The 22,366-nt window shown below is 41.9% G+C and overlaps 1 protein-coding gene across 10 annotated transcripts in view, besides 3 other annotated features; it reads right to left on the reverse strand.

Annotated features, from left to right (window-relative positions):
* The window catches only part of FOXP1 (forkhead box P1), a 629,271-nt gene that overhangs the window by 482,746 nt on the left and 124,159 nt on the right, over window positions 1-22,366 (reverse strand). The window lies entirely within an intron of this gene.
* Window positions 6,413-6,522: an enhancer, noted in NCBI's record as "active region_20062". NCBI's record gives its function as "activates an Ori minimal core promoter by ATAC-STARR-seq in GM12878 lymphoblastoid cells {active_cell/tissue: GM12878}" and the evidence as "EXISTENCE:reporter gene assay evidence [ECO:0000049][PMID:35858748]".
* Window positions 6,913-7,052: an enhancer, noted in NCBI's record as "active region_20063". NCBI's record gives its function as "activates an Ori minimal core promoter by ATAC-STARR-seq in GM12878 lymphoblastoid cells {active_cell/tissue: GM12878}" and the evidence as "EXISTENCE:reporter gene assay evidence [ECO:0000049][PMID:35858748]".
* Window positions 15,925-16,219: a silencer, noted in NCBI's record as "tiled region #10822; K562 Repressive non-DNase unmatched - State 23:Low". NCBI's record gives its function as "represses a minimal TATA promoter and a strong SV40 promoter by Sharpr-MPRA in K562 cells {active_cell/tissue: K562}" and the evidence as "EXISTENCE:reporter gene assay evidence [ECO:0000049][PMID:27701403]".

Consider the following 22,366-nt stretch of genomic DNA (forward strand, 5'->3'; position numbering starts at 1 on the left):
TACATACAGAGTTTGGAGGTACAAGAAGCCAACAGCCATTCTCCACTGGGCTCTCCTGACTCACCAGGAATGGCAGATGCACTGGACTGGGGCAGAGTGAGGGAGCAGAATGAGGTCCCATCACAGGAACACCCCAGGTCTCTCTGAGTGTTCCCCAAAGAAGAAGGTATCACAGACACTCAGCAATGGCTCCACCATCCTCTCTCTCCACCCAGCATAAAACGCAAGCCCAAAGGGTGGAGGAGCATGAACTTCCGAGTCTGTGATCATCATAATGCCTTTGGGAATAAAAAGAAACCCTGCTGGACAGGAATTAAGAGCCTGTTCCTCTGGCTGGGGCGTAAGAGACCCAAACCAAAAAAATGATCAGGTGAAAAACAAGCTGCCTCAAGAGGACAGGGCCCCACCCGCACTTGCAGACAAAAAGAAAAGCTTGGTTCCAGGAGGTGAAGAAAAGCTGTGTACACGAAATTGAGTCAAAGAGAGCCCACGGATCTGCTGATGGGAGGGGTAGAAAATTAACATGGATTGAAACAATAACAGTGACTTATTTCCAGAAGAAATGTATTTATGTGATTCTACCACTGGAATCTATCTCTACTAGTTATATGAAAGTAATGGGATAAAAGCAAACAAAATAATTGAACAATTTATTACCTTCAGGAAAATGTAGGCATCTAACATGTTCAGTTACGCACAGGAATTACAGGAATGGAATAACATGTAGACTCTTTAAGAACACTGTGTCTGGTTTTGCTCAGCACTGAATTCTTGGCTCTTAAAATCTATTTCTGAATGAATGAATGAATGAATGTTGTCCCTTATTCTTCATTTTCTGGCAGCCTCGTTTAATATGAGCTACATCGGCCGGAAAGTACTGGTGTTTTTGGATTGCTTTCAAAAATGTGAAAACAGCAAGACTAATCCTATTTCCACTTCTTTATCCACCTTTAAGAGTAACCTGCTGTGGCATGAGTTCCTGTGCATTCCATTATCTCGGCTGACTCTCCATCCTCCTGGCCATCAGCAGAGGAAACTCTGGCTCACAAAAGGATTTAGCATCCTAGCACAGTAGGGATTTCGACTTACGGCCACCTTCTCCAGGCTCCCCTCCACTCACATAATTTTGGTCTCCAAACATTGAGACTGCCTCTCCCTTGGGTCTTTTGGACCTCATTTATACCCCCCAGCAGTTGATGGCCAAGATCTAGTCCTCATCACAAGGCTTGGTAGGCCCATTCTGCAAATAGAATTATATAGATTTAGGGAGGTTTCAGTCTAATTTGGAGAAAAAAAAAAAAAACCAGTCTCCATAGATACAAGCTTTTCAACATATTGCTTTTTTGCTCTCCTGTTTTCTTACACTGAGAATGTCAATGCAGAACCGGAATATAAAGTAAATTACACAGGCTGGAGGACTGAGCATCCCACCCAGCCCTCCCCAACCCCACTGGTGGAGACCACAGGGCAGAGTGGATGGTAGCAGGGACAGGAGCTCTTCGGAGGCAAGGAACAGAGCCTTAAGGTTGGAGCTACAACCCGCTCTCCAAGGCTCTATAGGAAGGAAGACACCAGCTCGCTGCTCTCACAACTCATCTTCCTCTCCACTGTTTCATTAAATTGCACAAGGATGGGACTGCCTATGCAGGTGGCAGACAGGCAGTGAGGGTGCCAGGCCTTGCCACAGATGCAGAGCTCGGGCAGACTTCAGGCTACAAGCAGCACAGGTCCTGATGACAAAGTGGTCAAGGTGTGATTATGGCTGCACGAGAGCTGCTCAGAACCCTGGGACCATGCATGCAAACGATTGCCTTTTCCTGGTTCCTGAAAACCTTTCTGTGTGTCCATGTGCATAGGGTGGGAATGGGAGAAAGAATCAAAGGTAGCAGTGATGTAATGAAAACCTTCAAGAAAGGGTGGGGAGGGGTCTGAAGGGCAGTGCATTCTATTTCTTTCAGCTAAGAAAAGGTAAGAAAACTTAGAAGAAGGAAAAATAGAATTACCACATGATCCAGCATTTCCACTACTGGGAATATTCCCTAGAGAACTGAAAGAAGAAACTTAAGAAATACTTGTACACCCATGTTCATGGCACTATTATTCACAATACTTAAACGGTGGTGGCAATCCAAGTGTCCAGCAAAGGATGGATAAACAAAATGTACACACATTCAACAGAATATTATTCAGCCTTTAAAAGGGAGAAGGGGCCAGGCGCAGCAGCTCAAGCCTGTAATCCCAGAACTTTGGGAGGCCGAGGTAGGCAGGTCATTTCAGGTCAGGAGTTTGAGACCAGCCTGGCCAACAAGGCAAAACCCCATCCCTAGTAAAAATACAAAAAAATTAGCTGAGTGTGGTGGTGCACGCCTGTAATCCCAGCTACTTGGGAGGCTGAGGCAGGAGAATTGCCTGAACCCAGGAGATGGGGGTTTCATTGATCGGAGATTGCACCATTGCACACTCCAGCCTGGGCGAGAGAGTGAGACTCTGTCTCAGGAAAAAAAAAAAAAAAAGGAGGAAGTTCTGAATCCTGCTGTAACAGGCACGTACCTTGAGGACATTATGCTAAGTGAAATAAGCCAGTCACAAAAAGACAAATACTATATGATTCCATTTATATGAGGTATCTAGAGTTGTCAAATTCATAGACAAAGTAGAATGCTGGTTGCCAGGGGAGGAGGGAGTTTCAGTTATGCAAGATGAGAAAGTTCTGGAGACTGGTTGCACAACAATATGAATATACTTAACACAACTAAACCTTACACTTCAAAACATTTAAGATGATAAATTCTGTTATGTGTATTTTACCACAATTAAAAATAACAAACAAGTCCAGGTGCAGTGGTTTATGCCTGTAATCCCAGCACTTTGAGAGGCCAAGGCAGGGGAATTGCTTGAGGTCAGGTGTTTGAGACCAGCCTGGGTAACAAAGTGAGACACCGTGCCGGGCGCGGTGGCTCACGCCTGTAATCCTAGCATTTTAGGAAGCTGAGGCGGGCAGATCACGAGGTCAGGAGTTCAAGACCAGCCTGGCTGATATGGTGAAACCCCGTCTCTACTAAAAATACAAGAAAGTTAGCTGGGCATGGTGGCACATGCCTGTAGTCCCAGCTACTTGGGAGCCTGAGGCAGAAGAATCGGCTGAGGCAGAAGAATCACTTGAACCCGGAAGGCAGAGGTTGCAGTGAGCCAAGGTCGTGCCACTGCACTCCAGCCTGGGTGACAGAGCAAGACTCTGTCTCAAAAAAAAAAAAAAAAATAGTTATCCAGGCATGCTGGCATGTGCCTGTGGTCCCAGCTACCCAGGAAGCTGAGGTGGGAGGATCACTTGAGCCCAAGCGGTTGAGGCTGCAATGAGCTATAATCATGCCACTACATTTCAGCCTGGGTGACACAGTGAGACCCTGTCTCAAAAATAAAATAAAACAAAATAAGAATAAGGAACAAAAAATTGGAAAACTAAACAAGCAAAAGACCCTACCCTGTTCCTCACATTTTAAAGTGAAACTGGTATTAAATGGAAAGCATGCACCAGGTATATGTTAGGAATTCTCTTTTTCTGTCAGCTATGATAGTACTTCAGGTTTTTTAAAGGTAACTGCATTCCCTATTGCAAACAGGATAATATAAAACTTTTTTCAGCTGCCTCTTGTGAAATTTTGTTCCATATTTTAGATTAGAGACCTAGCTTAGCAGTGCCTTTAGTAAGGGTAAATAACTTTGCAAATCATGGCACAACTCCCTAGGTGGGACTGTACTATGGATCAGTCATTCTCATGGAAGTAGAAGGTAGCTTTAACCCCTACGGGACATACATGTGGAAATGTCTGGAGACAGTCTTGGTTGTCACTGTCATGGGCAGGAATGAATGGCAGAGGCAAGGATGCTGCTACACATCCCACCGTGCACAGCACAGACCCCACAACAAAGAACTTTCTGGCCCCAAATGTCAACAGCGCTGAAGTTAGCAGCTCTGCTCCAGATTGGCCTAGCAGTTCAGGCATCTTGTTTGTTTTGCTCTTCCTTTTACCCATGCCTGTGAGCAGGCAGTGGAGTGAGTAGTCACTAACATGTCAGGCCCTGTGCTAAATGCTCTAGGAGAATGATCCTACGATGCCCCCGGCGTCACTAACAGGGAACCATTTGGAGAGGTTGAGGAATGTGTCCAAAGTCAGTACCACTGGTGGAATTTTAAATCAGTCCTAAAGACCTCCAGGGTGGTGTTCTTACCTCTGCTTCGTAAACCCTCAAGTTCTCAAACTCATTCTGGCTTGTGGGCAGCAAGCCAGGGCACCAGTGCTCAACAAGACACGCTATAGAGAACACTGGCACTGGGAACTGTTAGCCAAGTCCCTTCCCACTGAGGCCCTTCAACATCTTGGCAGCCTATCAACCCCACTCAGACTGCAGAAGAATGTTTGGATTCGAGGGGAAATTGGGGAAAAATTATTTTCTAGATTTTATAAAGGTTACTGTCATTTGCACATAATAAATCTCTGTTCTGCCTGATGTTATTTGCATGAAGAGGGCTTCACCCACTACGTTCTTAACGATATCTTCACCAGAACCTTCCCATTCAGAAGTCATGCCTACACAACTTTGAGAATTCCCAAGCACTAAACATCTCAGGAGCTGAACCATCTAGGGAACTCATATTCATGCCTCAAAGCCCTGTTCAGACTTGGTGCCCCACTTTTGTGGAGCTTGACCATATATGTCCCAGATGCCCCAGTTGTTCATTCCTTCTGCATAGCTCCATACTGTAACACCCTGACATTGTACGCATACTTCTCTACATTAACCATTAGCCAACCAGACTGAGTTGCTTGACACAGGGACTAAGGACACGTCTTTGTATAGGTTTTGCATATTACAACAGGCCAACTACAGCACCTGTCAGAAATGGCTGAAGACCTTAAAAAGCCAAAAAAAAAAAAAAACCACATTCAGAGATCAACTAAAACACACAAGGAGACACCCACAGGAGGACACTGGTGATTTCCTCTGAATCTTGAGAACGTCCAGCTGATTTTAGTGAAATTATTCATGCAAGTCTCGCGCAGTGAGTTGGGTGCTGGGATGTCTGGAGAAAGCTACATGGGCACGGAGGTCCTCTCTGTCGTCAGTATCATCCTGCACCAAACTAGCCGCGGCCCCAGTAATAATGCCACAGAGAAGCTTCCTCCATTCCATGGTCTTGGTTTTTTCTTTTGTTTTTGTTTTTTTGACAACAATCACAGTCACTCCCACGTCTGGATTTGTCAAAAGCCCAGGCCTGCTCCATCAGGAAAACCAGGGAGAAGGGGATTGCAGGCGGAGTTGCCTGCTCAAAAAAATGAAAGCATGCAGATTGTCAGGCCCCACTTGGGACTTAATCTGAATCTCTGAGGGTGGGGCTCCAGCACCTGCAGTTTTTATTTAAATCTTTTTTTATTTTTTTTTTATTTTTTTGAGACATAGTCTCGCTCTGTCACCCAGGCTGGGCTGGAGTGCAGTGGCGCGATCTCAGCTAACTGCAACCTCTGCCTCCTGGGTTCAAGAGGTTCTCCTTCCTCAGCCTCCTGAGTAGTTGGGATTACAGGCATGTACCACCACACCTGGCTAATTTTTTTGTATTTCTGGTAGAGATGGGGTTTCACCATATTGGCCAGACTGGTCTTGAACTCCTGACCTCAGGTGATCCACCCGCCTCGGCCTCCCAAAGTGCTGGAATCACAGGCGTGAGCCACCACGCCCGGCCCTTATTTTGTTTTTAACTGACACACAATAATTGTATGTATTCATGGGGTACTGTGTGATGTTTTGATACATGTATATTTGGTGTCATGATAAAATCAGAGTAATTAGCTTATCCATCACCTCGAACATTCATCATTTCTTTGTAATGAGAACATTCAAAATACTTTCTTCTAGCTCTTTTGAAATATACAATACTTTATTGTTAATGACAGTCGCCCTACTGTGAACAGGACATGGGCACGTATTCCGCCTATCTAACCGTAACTCTGGGTTCACGTCTGTCGGTCTAACAAGCCCTCCAGGTGACCCTGATGCACACTCGAGTTGGAAAGCCACTGCCTTCTCTCCATGCTTCTCAACAGTCATGACCATCAGAATCGCCTATAGGGCTGGTTAAAACACAGACTGCCAGCCCTCATGCCAGATTTTCTGATTCTGCCACTCTCCCTCCAACAGGGCCCCAGAACCTGCATCCCTAGCAAGCTGCCAAGTGACCTGCTCTAGGGATTTCTGAAACTAAAGAAGGGAGCTGAGTCTCATTTTGTATCCTTTTGTCATTTTTTTCTCACTTGTATATACTTTTAAATAAAGAATGGAGGCTATTTCTCAGCTGATGAGAAAATTCTATAGTATTGTAGGGTGGCCTTATGATGATCCAAGAATATACCAAAATAACCTCTTCAACAGAATACTATTTCCCCTTTTACCCTTCTCTCCCAATATTCTATGAGACCCCCAAAGGCAAAAAGCACCCCACATTTTGGACCAGCAGCTTGGCACTCAGCCTCCTTCAGAGGGGCTTCACCAGCCAGCCCCAGCCCAACTGGTTTCTACCTAAATACTCACTCCCTATGCACTATAGCTACTGACTTTGCCTCAAAGTGATTTCTCTCTCAAACGCCTAGTACATCAACGTCAATTGGCACTGGTTTCTGTTAACGAACAGACTGGCCTGCGCCAACCACAGCTTACCACACGTGTACTCGGCCTACTTCCCTATTTTCAATGCCTAATGATTTTTGCTGCGCCTGAACACATCTGGAGGGAGCCAGGCCCACTGGCTGCCTCTCGTCCCACTCCAGGCCCTCCTACAAAGGTGCACTCAGCAAACCCTCCAAGTACAGACAGGTTCTACAATGTTGCTCCAAGTCAGAGAGGAGGCCTCAAACAATCAAGGATTTTTTTTTTTTTTTTGGAGAAATGATCAAACCCGGGGGTGGGGACAGAACTTCCTGCAAGAAACCGCATCCTGAACAAGCATCACCACGACTCACTGTAAATAAATACTCTCTCCTTGCAGCACTTCCGTCAACTGTCAGGGCCCTGGCTCCAATCGCCTTTCAAGTCCAAACAGGAAAGGGGAGAAAAGAGAGTGAGATGGCAGATAGGAGGTTTAATTTGCTTCTTGCTGCAGTTTTCATTGGTGGGGCGCTTCCAATTCAGCAGGCCTGCCAGCTGCCTGGAATTGCTCCTGGACCCCACTTTTTCCTGTTAACCTTCATAATTGTATTATTACGGGCCAGCCCACAACTGGCCTACCCAAGGCTCAGAGGAGTGCGGCTTCTTCCCTACATCAGATAAGAAGCCAAAATCAAACAGGCCTGCTGCAGACAGAAAGGCAACTGATGTTTGCGAGGGATGCTCTGTACATGCCTCTGCTGTGACTTAACCCAAGGGATTGGGGGGAGTGGGGATGGCCATGGGGACTGGAGGGTAGAGGGTTCAAGAAGGAAATAAGTCAGTGACCTCAATTTTCTGGAAAACGAATGTGAAGGATATCCTTTTCAAAGTGCACAATGTGGCCGGGCAGGGGAAGATGTGCAAGGGAGATCTTTCATTTCAATAACAGCAATAGCAAGTACTTCTGGAGTGCAGACCACGTGGCAGGCATGACATAAATAGCTTCAACATACCTTTAGTCCTTAGTGTTCTCCATGGTACCTGTGAGGGAAGAGCCATAACCCCCATTTTACCAATGAGGAGGCCAAGTGTGGGAGGGCTACAGAAACACAGGCTGCTTCACAAACCGTAAGTGGCAAAAGCAGGAATTCAAACTCAGTTTTGCCTAAATCAGGGCTGCTGTGAACAGCTGGGAAGGAGGTGTACTGCACAACTGAAACGAGTGCCACACACATCTCCAGCAATGTAAATGGCAGCTCAGCAGTGTTTTGCCTGAACCGGAATGGGGCTGATGCTGAAGTCCACATTTTAACCATGGAATATACTGCCTCCCAAAGGTTCTGGAAAATAAAAATGAGCTCTGTCCAGAGCTTCTCAAGAAGTTCTAAGATTCTAAGGTAGTATGAACTCCATGGCTTTCAACCAAGTCAATTTGCCCTATATAAAGGGCCTTTCTTTGTTGAATTCCCTATAATTCAAATTTCCCATTTGTTTCTGTGTTATGTATGCCCCAAGTCTGTTTTTACACAGTATTGAAATTAACAATGCCTGGCATATTAATAATAGATATAAATATCTATCAATAGATATTTATACCTTTTTTTTTTTTTTTGAGATGGAGTTTCACTCTTGTTGCCCAGGCTGGAGTGCAGTGGCGCAATCTCAGCTCACTGCAACCCCCGCCTCCTGGGTTCAAGTGATTCTCCTGCCTCGGCCTCCCAAGTAGCTGCGGATTACAGGCACGTGACCCAACCCCAGCTAATTTTGTATTTTTAGTAGAGATGGGGTTTCACCATATTGGCCAGTCTGGTCTCAAACTCCTGCCGTCAGGTGATCCGCCCACCTTGGCCTCCCAAAGTGCTGGGAATTACAGGTGTGAGCCACCGTGCCCGGCCTATGTGTGTCTTTTAACACATACAAGTATCTATTGAAAACAACTCATAGGTGAGTGAGTGAGTGAGTGAGTGAGTGAGTGAGTGAGTGAGTGAGTGAATGAATTCAGGCATTCAATGTGTCATCACGATGGCCAAAGCAGAAGACAGTTCTTGCCCTTCTCTGAGAAGCCTGGGCCTCATGGAGAAATGGGTGCTCTGCCATCTTGCTAAGACTGGCTTCCATAAAAGCTGCTGTCACTTGTGGGCACCCTTGATTTTTTTTAATATAACTATGAAAATTCAGGCTCGGGCACAGTGGTGGTAGCAGCTCTGGTTGCAGATGGAGGTAATATAATATGTTGTTGGCAGCCCAGGAGGAAACAGGGAGGGTAATAAGCAGAGAAAAAGCATGTTCAAGAATGAAGGAGTGGGTGAAACCTCGTAAACTCTTCGCAGACAAGACATGCCCCCTGGAGCCTCTGCCCTAAGGAGGGAGGGAGCCAGGCGGCTTCCCAGAGGCAGAGGAGGATGAAGCTAGAGATAGGGCTGAGGTGCCCAGGGCACCTGCTGCCACACACTGAAAAAAAAAATTAATAAAAGTAAAAATGAACCACTGCATGTAGCAGCAAAGTGTTATTAAAACACTGTAATGTCTCAGAGGTTCCTATGAAGTCATGTTCTTACAATTCACTCATAAGAATTTAAAGACAAAATTATATGCCTCGTAATTCTCCAATGAGTATGTTTCTCTATGGATCCCATTGTTTAGATGGGATGCACAGCTTCCAGCAGGTTTAAATCATTGAAGGGATTTTAAAAACTGGCACTTTCCAGAAATCTGGCTGCACATTCCTCAGCAGGAGTAAGTGTCAATACAGATTATGTCTACATACTTGTGTATACCAGTACATCTATTTCAGGACACGCTTTCCATCAGGGTTGCAAACTCAAATGCCCATAGGGGCCAGGCAGTTGCTTCAATGGATTCAATGGATGAAGCAGGCAGGGACTCAAACACTAGGGAGTGGGTGGGAATGCATCCCTAACAGACAGCTTTGACAAGCCCCATCTAAATGGGCACTTGACCCCAGCATGGGAGAGGGGCTGGTGTTACTACATCTTTTGGTTTGTTACAAGAAGTCAGGAATCTGGGCTCTGCATAGGAAACCTCAGTAAATAAATGCCAGTGATCATCCAAATACCTTATTTAGAATACCATACAAGTTAGCATGTAGTTGTGGCCTGAATACCTCTGTCTACACCTATGTCTACACATACAGCAAGAATGACTGTTTAAATTTAGCCACTATGTTTCCAGGCCCCTCTGCCTTACACATTCTCAAGCTAGTTTATGAGGCACCCCAACGAGCTTACAAACAGTCACATCCACTTAGATGAATGGCCTGAGTCAGGGAGGAACCTGCCAATCTGGGCAGTGATTGGCAACCAGGTGCCACATGGCTGGAGTCAGATCTGAAAGGGCATCACTCCAGCTGGAAGGAAGTAGGTCAGTGGCCTAGTTCCACAGGTCTGCATACCAACCTGCTCCCATTCCATTGTACTTTTCCCTTCTGGACAGATGAAACCATCGAGGCCTATGTCCAGTTACCAGACAGAAACTGAGAGGACCCACTAAGGGAGCGTGTGGATGAGGTTCACGCTAGCAGCATGGTTCTTTAAAGGAAGCTCATCCACGTCCAGCGTGCCCTACCTGTTCAGACACAGGTTGCAACAGATAGAAGCAAAGCCCTTCTAAAAGAATCTGGCCTTTTTCATATATTTTTATTAAACTTGAATACTCACCAGAATGGGGCAGGGGGAGAGGGGTTTGGATATCATGTCTTTCTCTTTCACCCTACTCAAGATCATAGTGAAATTTCAACATTTGCAAGTATAGAATCTATACAGTATACTTACAACTATGCAAGTATAGAATCAGCCAGAGACAAGTGTAGACACGTTCAGAGAGAAGAACCTCAAATGACTCATTCTTCCAGTTTTCTCAAACTGATTTCAGCTTTGAGGAAAGAGGCTTCATTCATACACACCACACATCAGATAGTGCCAGGCCTCATGGAACCCTTCACGGGTTGATGCCTCTAAACAACGCTTCCCTGCCGAGGAATGTGAATGTTGCCAGCCTTGGGGACGGAACCCCAGCACAGAAATAGACTCCTTCTAAGATTTCAATCTTAGTGACTGACAGACACCTCCTAGTCTATCAGGAGATCTTTATCCCCTGACCAGGGTGAAGGATTCCCACTGCTTCCTTTCCCCTTACACACACCTCTCTGAACAGCTTCCACAAAGAAATGTACAAAATCCTGCTCCATTAAGTCTGCGAAAACAGTATGGGCACTAAATGCTTTCCTCATTCTGCAAAGAAAGGCTGTTGACTGGTAAGGTTTAAGCAATACTTAAGAAAGAAATTCTGGTACCTCTCCCAAAAGACAAACTGTACCTATAATAATATCCCTGGACAATTAATGGAACATAGCAAAGACTACACAGTGGTTAAGATCACTGGTATTAAGAGCACTGGCTCATGGGTTAGGGTCTGTTGTTATTGACCTGTGAACTTGGGTAAATGATTTAATTTCTCCAAGCAGCAATGTCCTCATATGTAAACTAGTAGGTAATAATGGTACCCGCAAAAAGGAGTTTTCCTTAAGAATAAAATGGGACGCATTCAAGAACACTTTGCAAAATACCTTAACTAGTAGGTAATGGTGGTAGTGTCTACAACAAAGATAATTCCTGTCGGCTGCTTTACTGTCCCCAGCTAAGATGCCTATTCCAAACTTCTCTGTTTTGAATACCAAATTACCATTGCCACAATTTCAGAACCAAATCACTGGCAAGTAAGAATCCTTAGAAACCTGCTTAGCAAACTTTGACCTGGGAATGCCGGCACACGTCTTTTTCATGGAGGACACTTGCAACTGTACAACTTAGTAAGGCGTGGGCATGCAAAGTTTATTAGCTAATGTCAAACCCTAGCTCCAATGAAATCAAAGAACAAAATGCGTGTTATGACCAGACCTAACCCCAAACTGGTTTTTGGTTCAGAAACAGAATGCCTGCCAATTCGGGGAAACTACATAGAAACAGTAATCAAACAATATTATATGATCATATTCATTGTCATTATTAAATTTTGGTAATAAAAACAGGGTAGAAATATAGAAAGAGCAAAAAATTGATGTGTTTTACTTGGGTCAAGGTTTTTCTTAATTGCAAAAATAGAGCAGGGCCCAAATTATAGGAGGCAAGCAAGGTGCCTAGGGTGCAAAATTTAGGGAGGCACTAGCTCTCAGGATCGTCCAAGTTCAAGATCAGCATTGACAGCAAATGCCTCCTTAAATTTTCCACCCTAAACACCCTCTGTGGCTCCCCTTAATCCGGTGTTAAAAGAAGTGAAATGTAATTTTCATGCATTTGTGTGTGTGTGGCAGTAACCTGCAAGGAGGCTCCAAGATGTACACTGATGGGCAACATTACAACACATCTTTCCTTTAAAACCCAGAATTTCATGGCTGGGAGCAGCCCAGGCAAAGGACTATTTCCTAGAACCTTACCAAGTTCAAAGGCAGCTCTTTGCAACTTTGTGAGGGTTTCCTTTCATCAGCCCTCAACAACCTTTTCTTGTCCTCTCCCATACAAACAGGGATTAATTCTACAAGCAGCAGAAAATCCTATTCTCAGATATAATTTTTGCCCATGTAAACCCTATGGAAGAAAGGGGTGCAATGTAAAATGAATAGGGGTCACTTACTGATCATGCAATCTGACCACTCGAATTGAGGAATTCTTTTTTAAGGGGCTGTTTATAAATGAATCATTGTTTCATTAGATAAATATTCACAAAGTTTATTTTTAGAAAAGCTAAACCATAACAAAGTATAACTAAATACAATCTCACATAGGTCTATGAAATACGAGGTAAATAAAAGTTTAAAAAATCTCAGAGAGGTGACTTCAGTCATAAGGCATGAAATTTCTTTCCCAACATGTCTACGAATTGAGCATTAAAAAGGAAAAGGGGCTTTATAAACATAAGTCCTTTAAAATTTCCTTCTGAAGTTTTCCACTTTAACCTCACAAAGCCTCATTTACAAATAAACAGGTTTCTAAATACATAAGACATTAGAAGAGGTAGGTGGAAGACAAAGAAAAATCACACCTGCGTATTAGAGTCAATGTGTTTATGTTCCTAATTTCAATGATTTAACTGAAACTACTTTGGTTAGAAATGCTAAACAAATAGATTCACAACTAAAAAACTACAGGTGTTTCTGTACCTCCATGCTGGCAATTTTTAGATGTACTTCACCTGCTATCAGAACAGAAACTCTACATACTGATAAGGAATGGGACGACAATGAACTTCGCCCTCCCCAGCTCAACCTTCTTCATAACTTCACTGCAGAATGACAAGCTCGTTGCCAGTGAATGCCACTCTCTAATGCCACAGAAATTTTGATCTCAGCTGTCCGATGCAAATTTGTGTACGATTTTGTATGCATTACCAAGCTACGAAATAAGTCAGTGTGTTAGGATGTGTGAACACATGGCTTGCTCTTGTTTCTGAACATAATAGTTCCTAATGTCTAGTGTACTGTGATATTCTTGGTTCACCCTGCCCTTTCTCTTAAAGAAAGCCTATGTTAATTTCGAACAAAACTGAAGAATGGCATAGGACAAGCTCCTGTCTAAATACTGTTTCTTGTGATGGCATAAAATAAGTAGTAAGTGATAAGATGAGTTGGTCATTTTTTTAATTTAAAGAGGGAAGAATAAACAATTTTATGGAATATTCTTTTTTTTTTTGAAGACCTAATTATATATACTAAGCAAGAAGTAATTTCTCCCTCCTGCCTACATTTTATGTTTTGGGCACTTCCATTTCATGTCCCTTGACACCTTTTCCAATAATCCATCTACTTGATATTGGAAAGCCTCACATGAATAAAACTTTATGGCACTACAGGCGTTTAGCCTTCCACTGACATTCCTGGCCTGTTCAATTCTGCAATTCAATCAAAATCAAATCTCAAAATCCTCTTGTCAGCCAGCACTGCTTTCATATGCCTGAGCCTTGTGTAAGGATAACTGCATCCAATCTTCCCCCCAAGCAGTGCTTATATTGTTTTATTACAGTTCAATGAGTGGAGTTCAAAATTACATGCAGCTGCCTACTACTGTGGTTGGGCTGTGTTACGCATGGACACAAGTATTGCCCACCAGGCCTGAAATCATTCACTTACTGGCCGGCCAGAAAGACTGTGAGCACTTCTTTGTATGGAAGAACATCCTGTCTGCTAGATCTAAAGAGGGTGATGTTAACAGATCAGTCCCTTTATAAAAGGATTGTGAAAGCCCGATGAAATGCAACTCAAATGTGCTCAATGTTAAGCAAGTGGCTAGAGCACATAAAAGCGAAGATAAACCTCAACATGCACTACTTATTCTCAGAAAGCTTGTGAAGGAAGATAAAGAGATCTGGAATAAAAGACATCTTAAAGAATTTTCGTATGTGTTTTAGATGATGAAGCTTCATTTAAATGAGTTTTTTTTTTAACACCCCCAGTAATCCTTTCATTGAAACAAAAAGACAAAATACAAAGCCAATTAAATACAATTTAACCTGATGAACAATACAGTAATTAAAGTACCAGTAGTCAAATGCTTCGATAGGCTAACATCAGGCAGAGTGACAGTGAAAATAGCTTTAGGGATACACCATATTTTCAACACTGGGACAAACACATCAAGTGGCCATCCCCTATTTTTAAGCGAAATGAAAAATGTGTAGAAAATACTAGAACCAAAAAGGAAAGCAAACTGGGTCTCATTTGTGTAGGTGTTAAATTACTTAGTTATTAAACAGGAAAAAGGTCTTGCTAGAAGAACTGTTAAAGCCCCAAATAAAAATGTGTGTGCTAACTCCAGGCTACCTCTGGGCTAGTAATTCTACAGGTAAAACAATAACTTCCTAGAGTGCAGTGTTTCAAGAAAAAGAAACCTGCCTCTCTCATTTATGAAGACATGCATCTCCTGTGCAGGTGGCCCCACACTTCTCTGTGACAAAAGTCAGCGCCAGGAGGGTAAAGACGTACATGTCATTGCCAAATATTTACTGGCGACGTCTCTAAAATTAATCACTCTCGGAGCCCCCAAAAGGTGAATGTATATCCATTTCTAATACCTACCACTCTGCATCTTTGGAAACAATATCATCAAAAGGAACTTTAAAGGGATCATGAAAAGCTCTAACATACAGAAACCTCTTTCAGACTACAGAAATTAGTCTCAAGACTAAATACTCAGGAGTTTAATTATTAAGTCAGCCCCCATGCCAAGAGGGGGAAATGGAAAGGTATTTATTCTGTTGCAGCTATGTTTATAGGTAACAACCTAGAAAACCAGGTGATTCACGTACAATGATACCTTATTTTCTAATGACGTGGCAACTCAAAGAGCCAGCAAGGCAAGATAGGGACAATTTGGAACTGGCAAAATAATGAATGAGTTTCTAGACATAATTTTATTTTCTCTGGGATAAATGATGAGATTCAGGCTTACTGACCCCCAAAGGAGGCTCTTGTTGTATTTTAATATTTGAGAGGGTTGAACTTGGAGGGACAAGGCATACATTTTTTTACCGAGGATGCTGCTTTGGTCAAGACCTGTCATCCTTTGATGGTCACAGAGCAGGAGTGCCTGCCTCCCTCCCAAGTCAACTGCAGTGAAATGTTATTGTTTGATAGCTTTTCAGTTGCTGACAAAATCAGCTGGTGTTCCCAGAAAATGAAATGAATTCCACACACTGGCCTCCCTCCCTTCCTTCCCCTTTCACTCAGTGGAGTCCCAATGGATGAAATGAACAAATCTCCAAGGAATTTGAAGACCACTCTTACTACTTACAAGAGTGCTTTCTGGCATCTGTAGAAAAATCAGAAAATCCAACAATATGGCCCAAAGTCCTGACAACAACTGGCTGGAGTGAGGCAGCAACAACAGCTCCCTTTAAATAAAGCCTGTGCTGCCTAGTTCTTTACTCTTCTCACCCCATCTGCTTAATTCTTTTAAATTAACTGTGTGGCTGCCATAACAATTTGAGTTTCAGCCCCCTGTAATACAGCTTACCTCGCATTACTTCCAGGACACAAATCCCACAATCCTATTCACACTTGGTGATGTTTGGGCCAGTATCAGGGTATGTCCCCACACTTCCTAATTTCCTAAGAAAATGAAATACATATATACACAGCTTCATGATAAATGCCAAGACCAGCCAACTAAACAGACACCAAGAATAAAGCAAGATCCCTTCCCCAAACTCCATCCTACCAATGTCATTTCATAATGTCTACTAGGCAAAGGAGTACTTGGTCCAATTATCAGATGCAATATTCAAGCTGAATGATATATGCACATGAATATTTTGAGACCTGGTTACCTTGGCTATCCTAACAGCCAAAGCAGATTTGCAGTGTGATCCCGGCAGCCCTACTGGCCGCATCAAAGGATAGGCTGTAATAGGATTTCAACACAGGAGCAAACAATGTCTGGTACTGATGGACACATAAAACTCACTGAAGTTTAACTCCTACTTCTTAACAAATAAAACCAAGCCCCTCCCCAACCTGGAGAGCCTGACCAAACTCACTGAGATTATCAATATCATTTTTGGGATCTGGAATCTTATTCTCGTTGAAGAAATAAACACCATCCCCAAAATGCTGATGACATTTAGAGTTAAGCCCTCTGATCACACTGCTCTTTCAAAGAGCCCAAGAGTAAAGGGAATTTACAAATATGTACTAAAGTCAGACACCAACATCCTAATAGCTTCTGCCTTCTAGAGATAAAAATATAAAGTATTTATGGAAAGACTCTCCTCATCCCTTTTTATGCAAAGAGTATCTTACAAACGCATTATGAACCAGACATCTGTGTCTTAAGACAATGAACACATCAAGTTTTAAGGGGCTGTAACTCTGAAACAGGCCTGGCAGGTATTTCCACCAAACCACCTCTTCTGCTGTCTAATCCTTTACTAAGCAAATATTTATACTTTAGCAGGAAAATCCTGAGCTAGATTGTTACTTCTCTTACCACCCTCTGCACCCCTTTGTAAGATGTCCCTTCTCCAGTGACCCTGGAGTTTAGAACTACATTTGCTCTATTTTGTTGCATAACAGCAGCAATAGAAGAGGTAAGAGAAAGTGTCTCTAAAGAATCCTAAAGAACCCTCCGTCCAGCTGGGAGAACTATACTCCTACAGCGTGATCAGAGCTAGGGTCGCCGGGGCTAATCTAGAATCACTGTGCCTCCACATACACGAGGCACATCATCTGTATTTTCACGTTTTGTGAAAATGCTCCTTAATGTTCACAGACGTGGTTACCCACTGAAGCAGGAGCTAAGGCACAGAGAGAGACAGGTGTTCGATAGAAAACCACAGAGACAAAAAGCACCCAAAGAGTCGCTTTATAATTTTTATTTGATTTTCAAAAACTCCACAATATAAATGACTGAACCTTGAGGTTCCAAGTGTGGCCTCGACCAGCAGCCTGAACATTATCAAAGATGCAGGGTCCCAGCCTCTACCTTAGACATACTGAACAAGAATCTGCATTTTGACAAGATCTGCAGCTTGACCTCCATGCACCTCAAGGTATGAGGAGGACTGTGCTCTAGAAGAACTATGATGCAGCTGCTCTTGATGGGGAGATGGTAGCGAAAGTTCCCTAACTTTCAGAACATATGTAAAAGTCTGTGGAATACGTGGATTCGAATCATCAAAGCAACTTGTTTTCTTTAAAAAAAAAAACAAAAAAAAAACTGCTTTCTGAGCGCCATCTCTCTCAGACCCACTGAATTAGAATCACTGGCACTCAGGTAGTCCTAGGGCCCACACCAGTCTGAAAACCACTGAGCAACTTCAAATGTGCATCTCCTCTGTGCTGCTTCTGGAGCTGGTTTCAATATACTGTTAAACTGATCGACATTTGGTAACTGAATAATCTGCAAAAACTTCAAAAACCATGTCATAGCTTTGTATATGCCCTAAAGTGAATGAGGCGGGGGCAGTGTTCTGGAATTCTTATGAATGATATACATCTCTTTACAAATAGTCAGTTTTTTAAAAGGAAATGTGTGCATTCTCGGTAACACATGCATTCACACATGCTTTCAGTGCTAAACTCTTCATAGAAAATGACAGGCGGACGTGGAAATAGCCACACGAGCACACATCCCCCCCGCCGTCTGAAATACAGAGGCATACATCTGAGAGTACATCCCTACGTATAGACAACTTCAAACAAAAACAGACCAGCTAAAGACGGAAAGCACCCTCCTTAAATCTAATATTCACTTTGTCTAGGACCAAACCAACTCCAACTAATTTAACAAGCAGCAATAAATAACCCATTATATGTTAGCTTTTAGTCATTAAACACCCTTCCCTTTTAATTAAAGAAAACTTGGAAACTAGCTCTCAAAGGGGTCCTAAATTTAAATGTTTAAGAAAAGACTGCTTTTGATACAAACTGCATAAAACAAATAATGAAAACTCTTAAATGTTGGATGGGGTGGGATTTCAAAGAATTAACTAATTGCAACCTGCGAGAGAAACAAGACACATTTGCTTCTGGGTACCTCTCCCACGTCATGCTCTTAAAGGCCCAAGTTTCAATTTGGGAGAAGAAGCCCAAATGTTTTTTGTTAATACGAAGAGTCAAAATATTTTAAAGGATCACACTTCCAACAGTTGCAATTTCCCTTTTGCAAGTTACCTAAGAAAGAAAAGAGCTATTAGTGATAGTTACGGGTGGGTATGGGGTGACAGCCACATGCAAACTGATGCTTGCTTTATCTCCCATTGCAGATCTGCGGGAATATGCAAGAATGGTTTAATAAACACCATCATTCCACTTTTCAGTTTAAAGTGTTCTTTTTTTGTGCAATTAAGTTATTAAAACACGACTATAATTTGACTACATTAATAACACAATGAAGCAAGCCTTCAGGTAAAGTAACTTGGATGGACAAAGGGTTTCCAAAAAATCACAGCCAAAAAGTCATGCCAAACCGAGGGAAAGGAGGTAATGTCTGTGGAAAGAATAACAGTTGCCCTTGCTCAGATGATTCAAGTATTTGAGGGAGGTAGCAACAGCCCTTCCCTAGCAAAGATATATGGGGCATACTTTTTGAAACCAACAAACAAGTCGCCCTTGCTGTATTGCAAAGCACAGGGCAGCAGGCACAACAGAGAAAGAGAGAGAGAGGGGACACACAAAAGTCAGGCAAAACAGGAAATTTGAGGAAACTATTTCTGAAATGTAAATAAGGGTTTCTGTTACTTTCAATATTGCAGAAGCAAAGAAGCTCCACTAGATGGAAGGTGCCGGGTTTTCTTGTACATCTCATTTTTCAGCACGTGAGACCTGATTCACAATGTATGGAGCTGATATTTCATATACATATTGTCAACATCAGAATAAGAACCGAAATTTGTTTTACATGTTCCCCTTGAGGGTCAGCCCTTCCTTTTCTCTCCTAGAGACTATGGAAGAAGCCTGTTCCCAACTCCCCTACACACTAGCTTGGGGACTCAGGACAATGTATTTGTCTTCTTCAACATCACTTTCTTGTCTGGAAGAGGAGGATAAGAGCAGTTCCTACTCCACAGAAACGTCGTGAGATACCCAAATCACACAGTGACTGAAATCTAGTAAGTGCCAAATATGCTAGGTATTTTTATTACTAACAACGTGGTAATTCTACTATCAAAAGCAACCCATGGAATATCAGAAAGTCAGTTATTGGTAGTTTTTTTTTTTTTCTGTGATATATCTATGTCAACTCATATCAGTGGCTTTATTTTTAAAGAAAGAGTGTTAGCAGGTTATTGCTATAGAAAATGCCCCATATGAAAAAGACTGCCCTGGTAACTTATCTGAGAGATGTGTCATTTACCCTTAAAGACAGCAGAATACACAAACACGAGTTCTCATGCTAGGATATAAAGATGGGTATTGGAGAGTGCTGACAGAATGCTGGGCTACTGAAGACAGAGTTTACTCATTCACACATCTCTGCCATGTTCTTAAATGTCTCTGCTAATCCTCACTATGAAACTTAAAAAAAAAAAGCATCTGAAATCCACAGAAATCAGGGTGAAAGTGACAGTAATAACATATTTATATCATAATATACTTGTGGATTAATACCATTTTCAAAATTAGCAATCCAATAAAATCAAAGTCAGAAAAGCAAACCTAATGAATTTATGCACACTGGATTTAAGAAAATATGCAGTAGTACTGTACCCACATGATCCTAGAACTTCTAGGTAAATTACAATTACTGTGCTATATTGCAATTTTACTATCAATTAGCATGGACCATTTTTCATCAAAAATCAAACAAATCCTCTCTTTCTGCCAGGTACATACCTAAAATATCCTCGGTAATCACAAAAGAGATCCAAGTCCTTGAGGGGTTGATCCACCTCTCCATCTCTACCCCCATGAAATTAAAGCAACAACTTTATCAAAGTAGAAGACCAAAAGGACTCAGGAGTGTGAAACAAGAAAGCATTAATTATGAATTACAGTGCTTTTGCAGATTCGCATTTAGTGCAAATCCCTCTAAAGCATATTTTAGTATACTATGTCTCACACTGCAGCAACTGAGAACTCCTGTACACAAAAATACTAGGGGAAAGGGCTTAACCACTGGGTCAAAATTTGCAGTTGCTCTGACATGCACAATCAAAGCACTCGAAGAGATATGCCTGGGAAATAGGATTTTATTGATATTTATGGGTAAGTTTGTTTACTACAAGCCTTAGCCATTTCTTCTCTTTACTTTCTTCCTTTTAGCAAAACACACTCCGCTTCCCAGTGCCCAACATGGGGGCACAGGACAGGGACTATTGTGCTCCAGGCTTCCTTGCAGCACATCTCAACCAGTATTGGCTACAACTCCAGCACCACGCACCAATTTCAGGAAAATTAGAGTTCAGCCCTTTCTTTCTCTCCATTTTCGTAATCTCACAGAGGCACAACTGTTCCAGAAACCAGCTCCCCTACCAGTCAGATATTTACACTAAACCTTTACTAAAGGGCTTGCTATTACAATGCTATCTCATTGATACAAGATTACTTCACTTCTGGACCACATCAAGCTATATAATACTCCAACAATCAAAAACATTGCCCCTCAAGAAAGATGCAGCCCAGATTATTTTCATGTGCTTATGTGAGCAGAATGCCAACATTTTTGTTTAATGCAATGCAAATCTCAAAAAAGAGTTTAACCATGAAAGCAGCATGCAGGCAAAAATCCTTCCAATGTATACATGTCCACATACACACATTACATAGACACATGTCAAGCTATAAAGAAATCACCCAGGATCAGAACTTTACATACTGTCAATTTCTCAAGGTGCAACCCCATTTTCAAAAACCCCAAACAAGCATCAGATCAAACGAAATATACATTTTTTTAATTTTGGGAAAGTGTAATATCCCTGTGCTTGACAAGGTGAAATATTCTGCCTTTTTACTCTGATTTGCAAAATAGGTATGTGAGCAAAATAACAGAATATAGCATTTACCTATCCATTTAGCAAATAATATGGAAGACCTACTCTACATCTTTATTCAAATGAAAATACTTTCCCCAGCATTTATTTCTTTAGCTGGTAGAAACCCCACCCTGTAAGGAACACAAGCGTAAAGCAATCTCTTGCAATGGACCATTTTACTTATTCTGCAATTTCTTACCCAAATTACACAGGTATAATTATTTTGACACTATAATGAAAAGAAAATGGGATTTGGGCACCGTAGGTTTATCTAATAACACTATTTCTTGCCAGACTTCACAGCACTGACAGTCACAAAGAACCTTGTCCATTCCAATAGGAAATATTTGATTTTACTGTAGGAACATTATTTATTTTCACCAAGTTGCTATTATCAGAAAGGATATGATAGCTGAATAATAAAAATGAAATCAAGAAATTCTGGTGTTTCAAGGCTTTATTTTTTTTCTGCTCTCACTTTTGACATTTTCTTCCCCTGGAGAGACAAGATAAAGTGCTGTCATAAATGGGTGACTTTTCTTGTCAAATGACAGATTTGATTCTCCATGGTAACCACAAATCAAGGTGCTAGTAGGAATTAAAGCTTCTCTTAAAAGGCGTCTTTATGTTTATAAAATGAATTTAAATTAAATGGGTATTAGGTACAGTCTTTACCTCAATTTATTTATTGACTGAAGAGCTCTGGATTGCAAGAAGCACATTTGCATTTTTAAGGAAAGATAACATATTGTCCTGACAGATGTATAAACAAAGCAAGTTACAAGGTCATGCTTCATACACTAGTTCTGAGACCCAAGAAGGGGATACAGATGGACATCTAGCAGTTAAGAAGTATTTAAATACTGAAAAAGGTGTAAAAATTACCTACAGGGGAACAGATGATGGAGTCTCTCTAGTTCCCTTCCTAACGCAGCTTTTTTTCTATTCAGTTAATAAAGATTTGTGAAATTGTCACAAAAAGAATGCCAAAAGGCAATCTCCCTCTTCGTCTTGTGTCCCTCATGTAATAGATATGGGGTTGTTGTTTTTTAAAATCCCTTCATCACAAATAAATATTCCATTCAAAATCATATTATTTTAGCCTCCAAATTCAAATACAGCTAAAATAAAACATTTGCTTCCCAATGTGTTTAAGAAAGGCAAACACACATGAAAAAGACTATATATCATGATTTCAGAAGAATGAGATAATTAATCAGTGTGTTAAGCTGATTTCAATTTTCAT

Source organism: Homo sapiens, chromosome 3 (genome assembly GCF_000001405.40).
Source record: "Homo sapiens chromosome 3, GRCh38.p14 Primary Assembly".
NCBI lineage: Eukaryota > Metazoa > Chordata > Mammalia > Primates > Hominidae > Homo > Homo sapiens.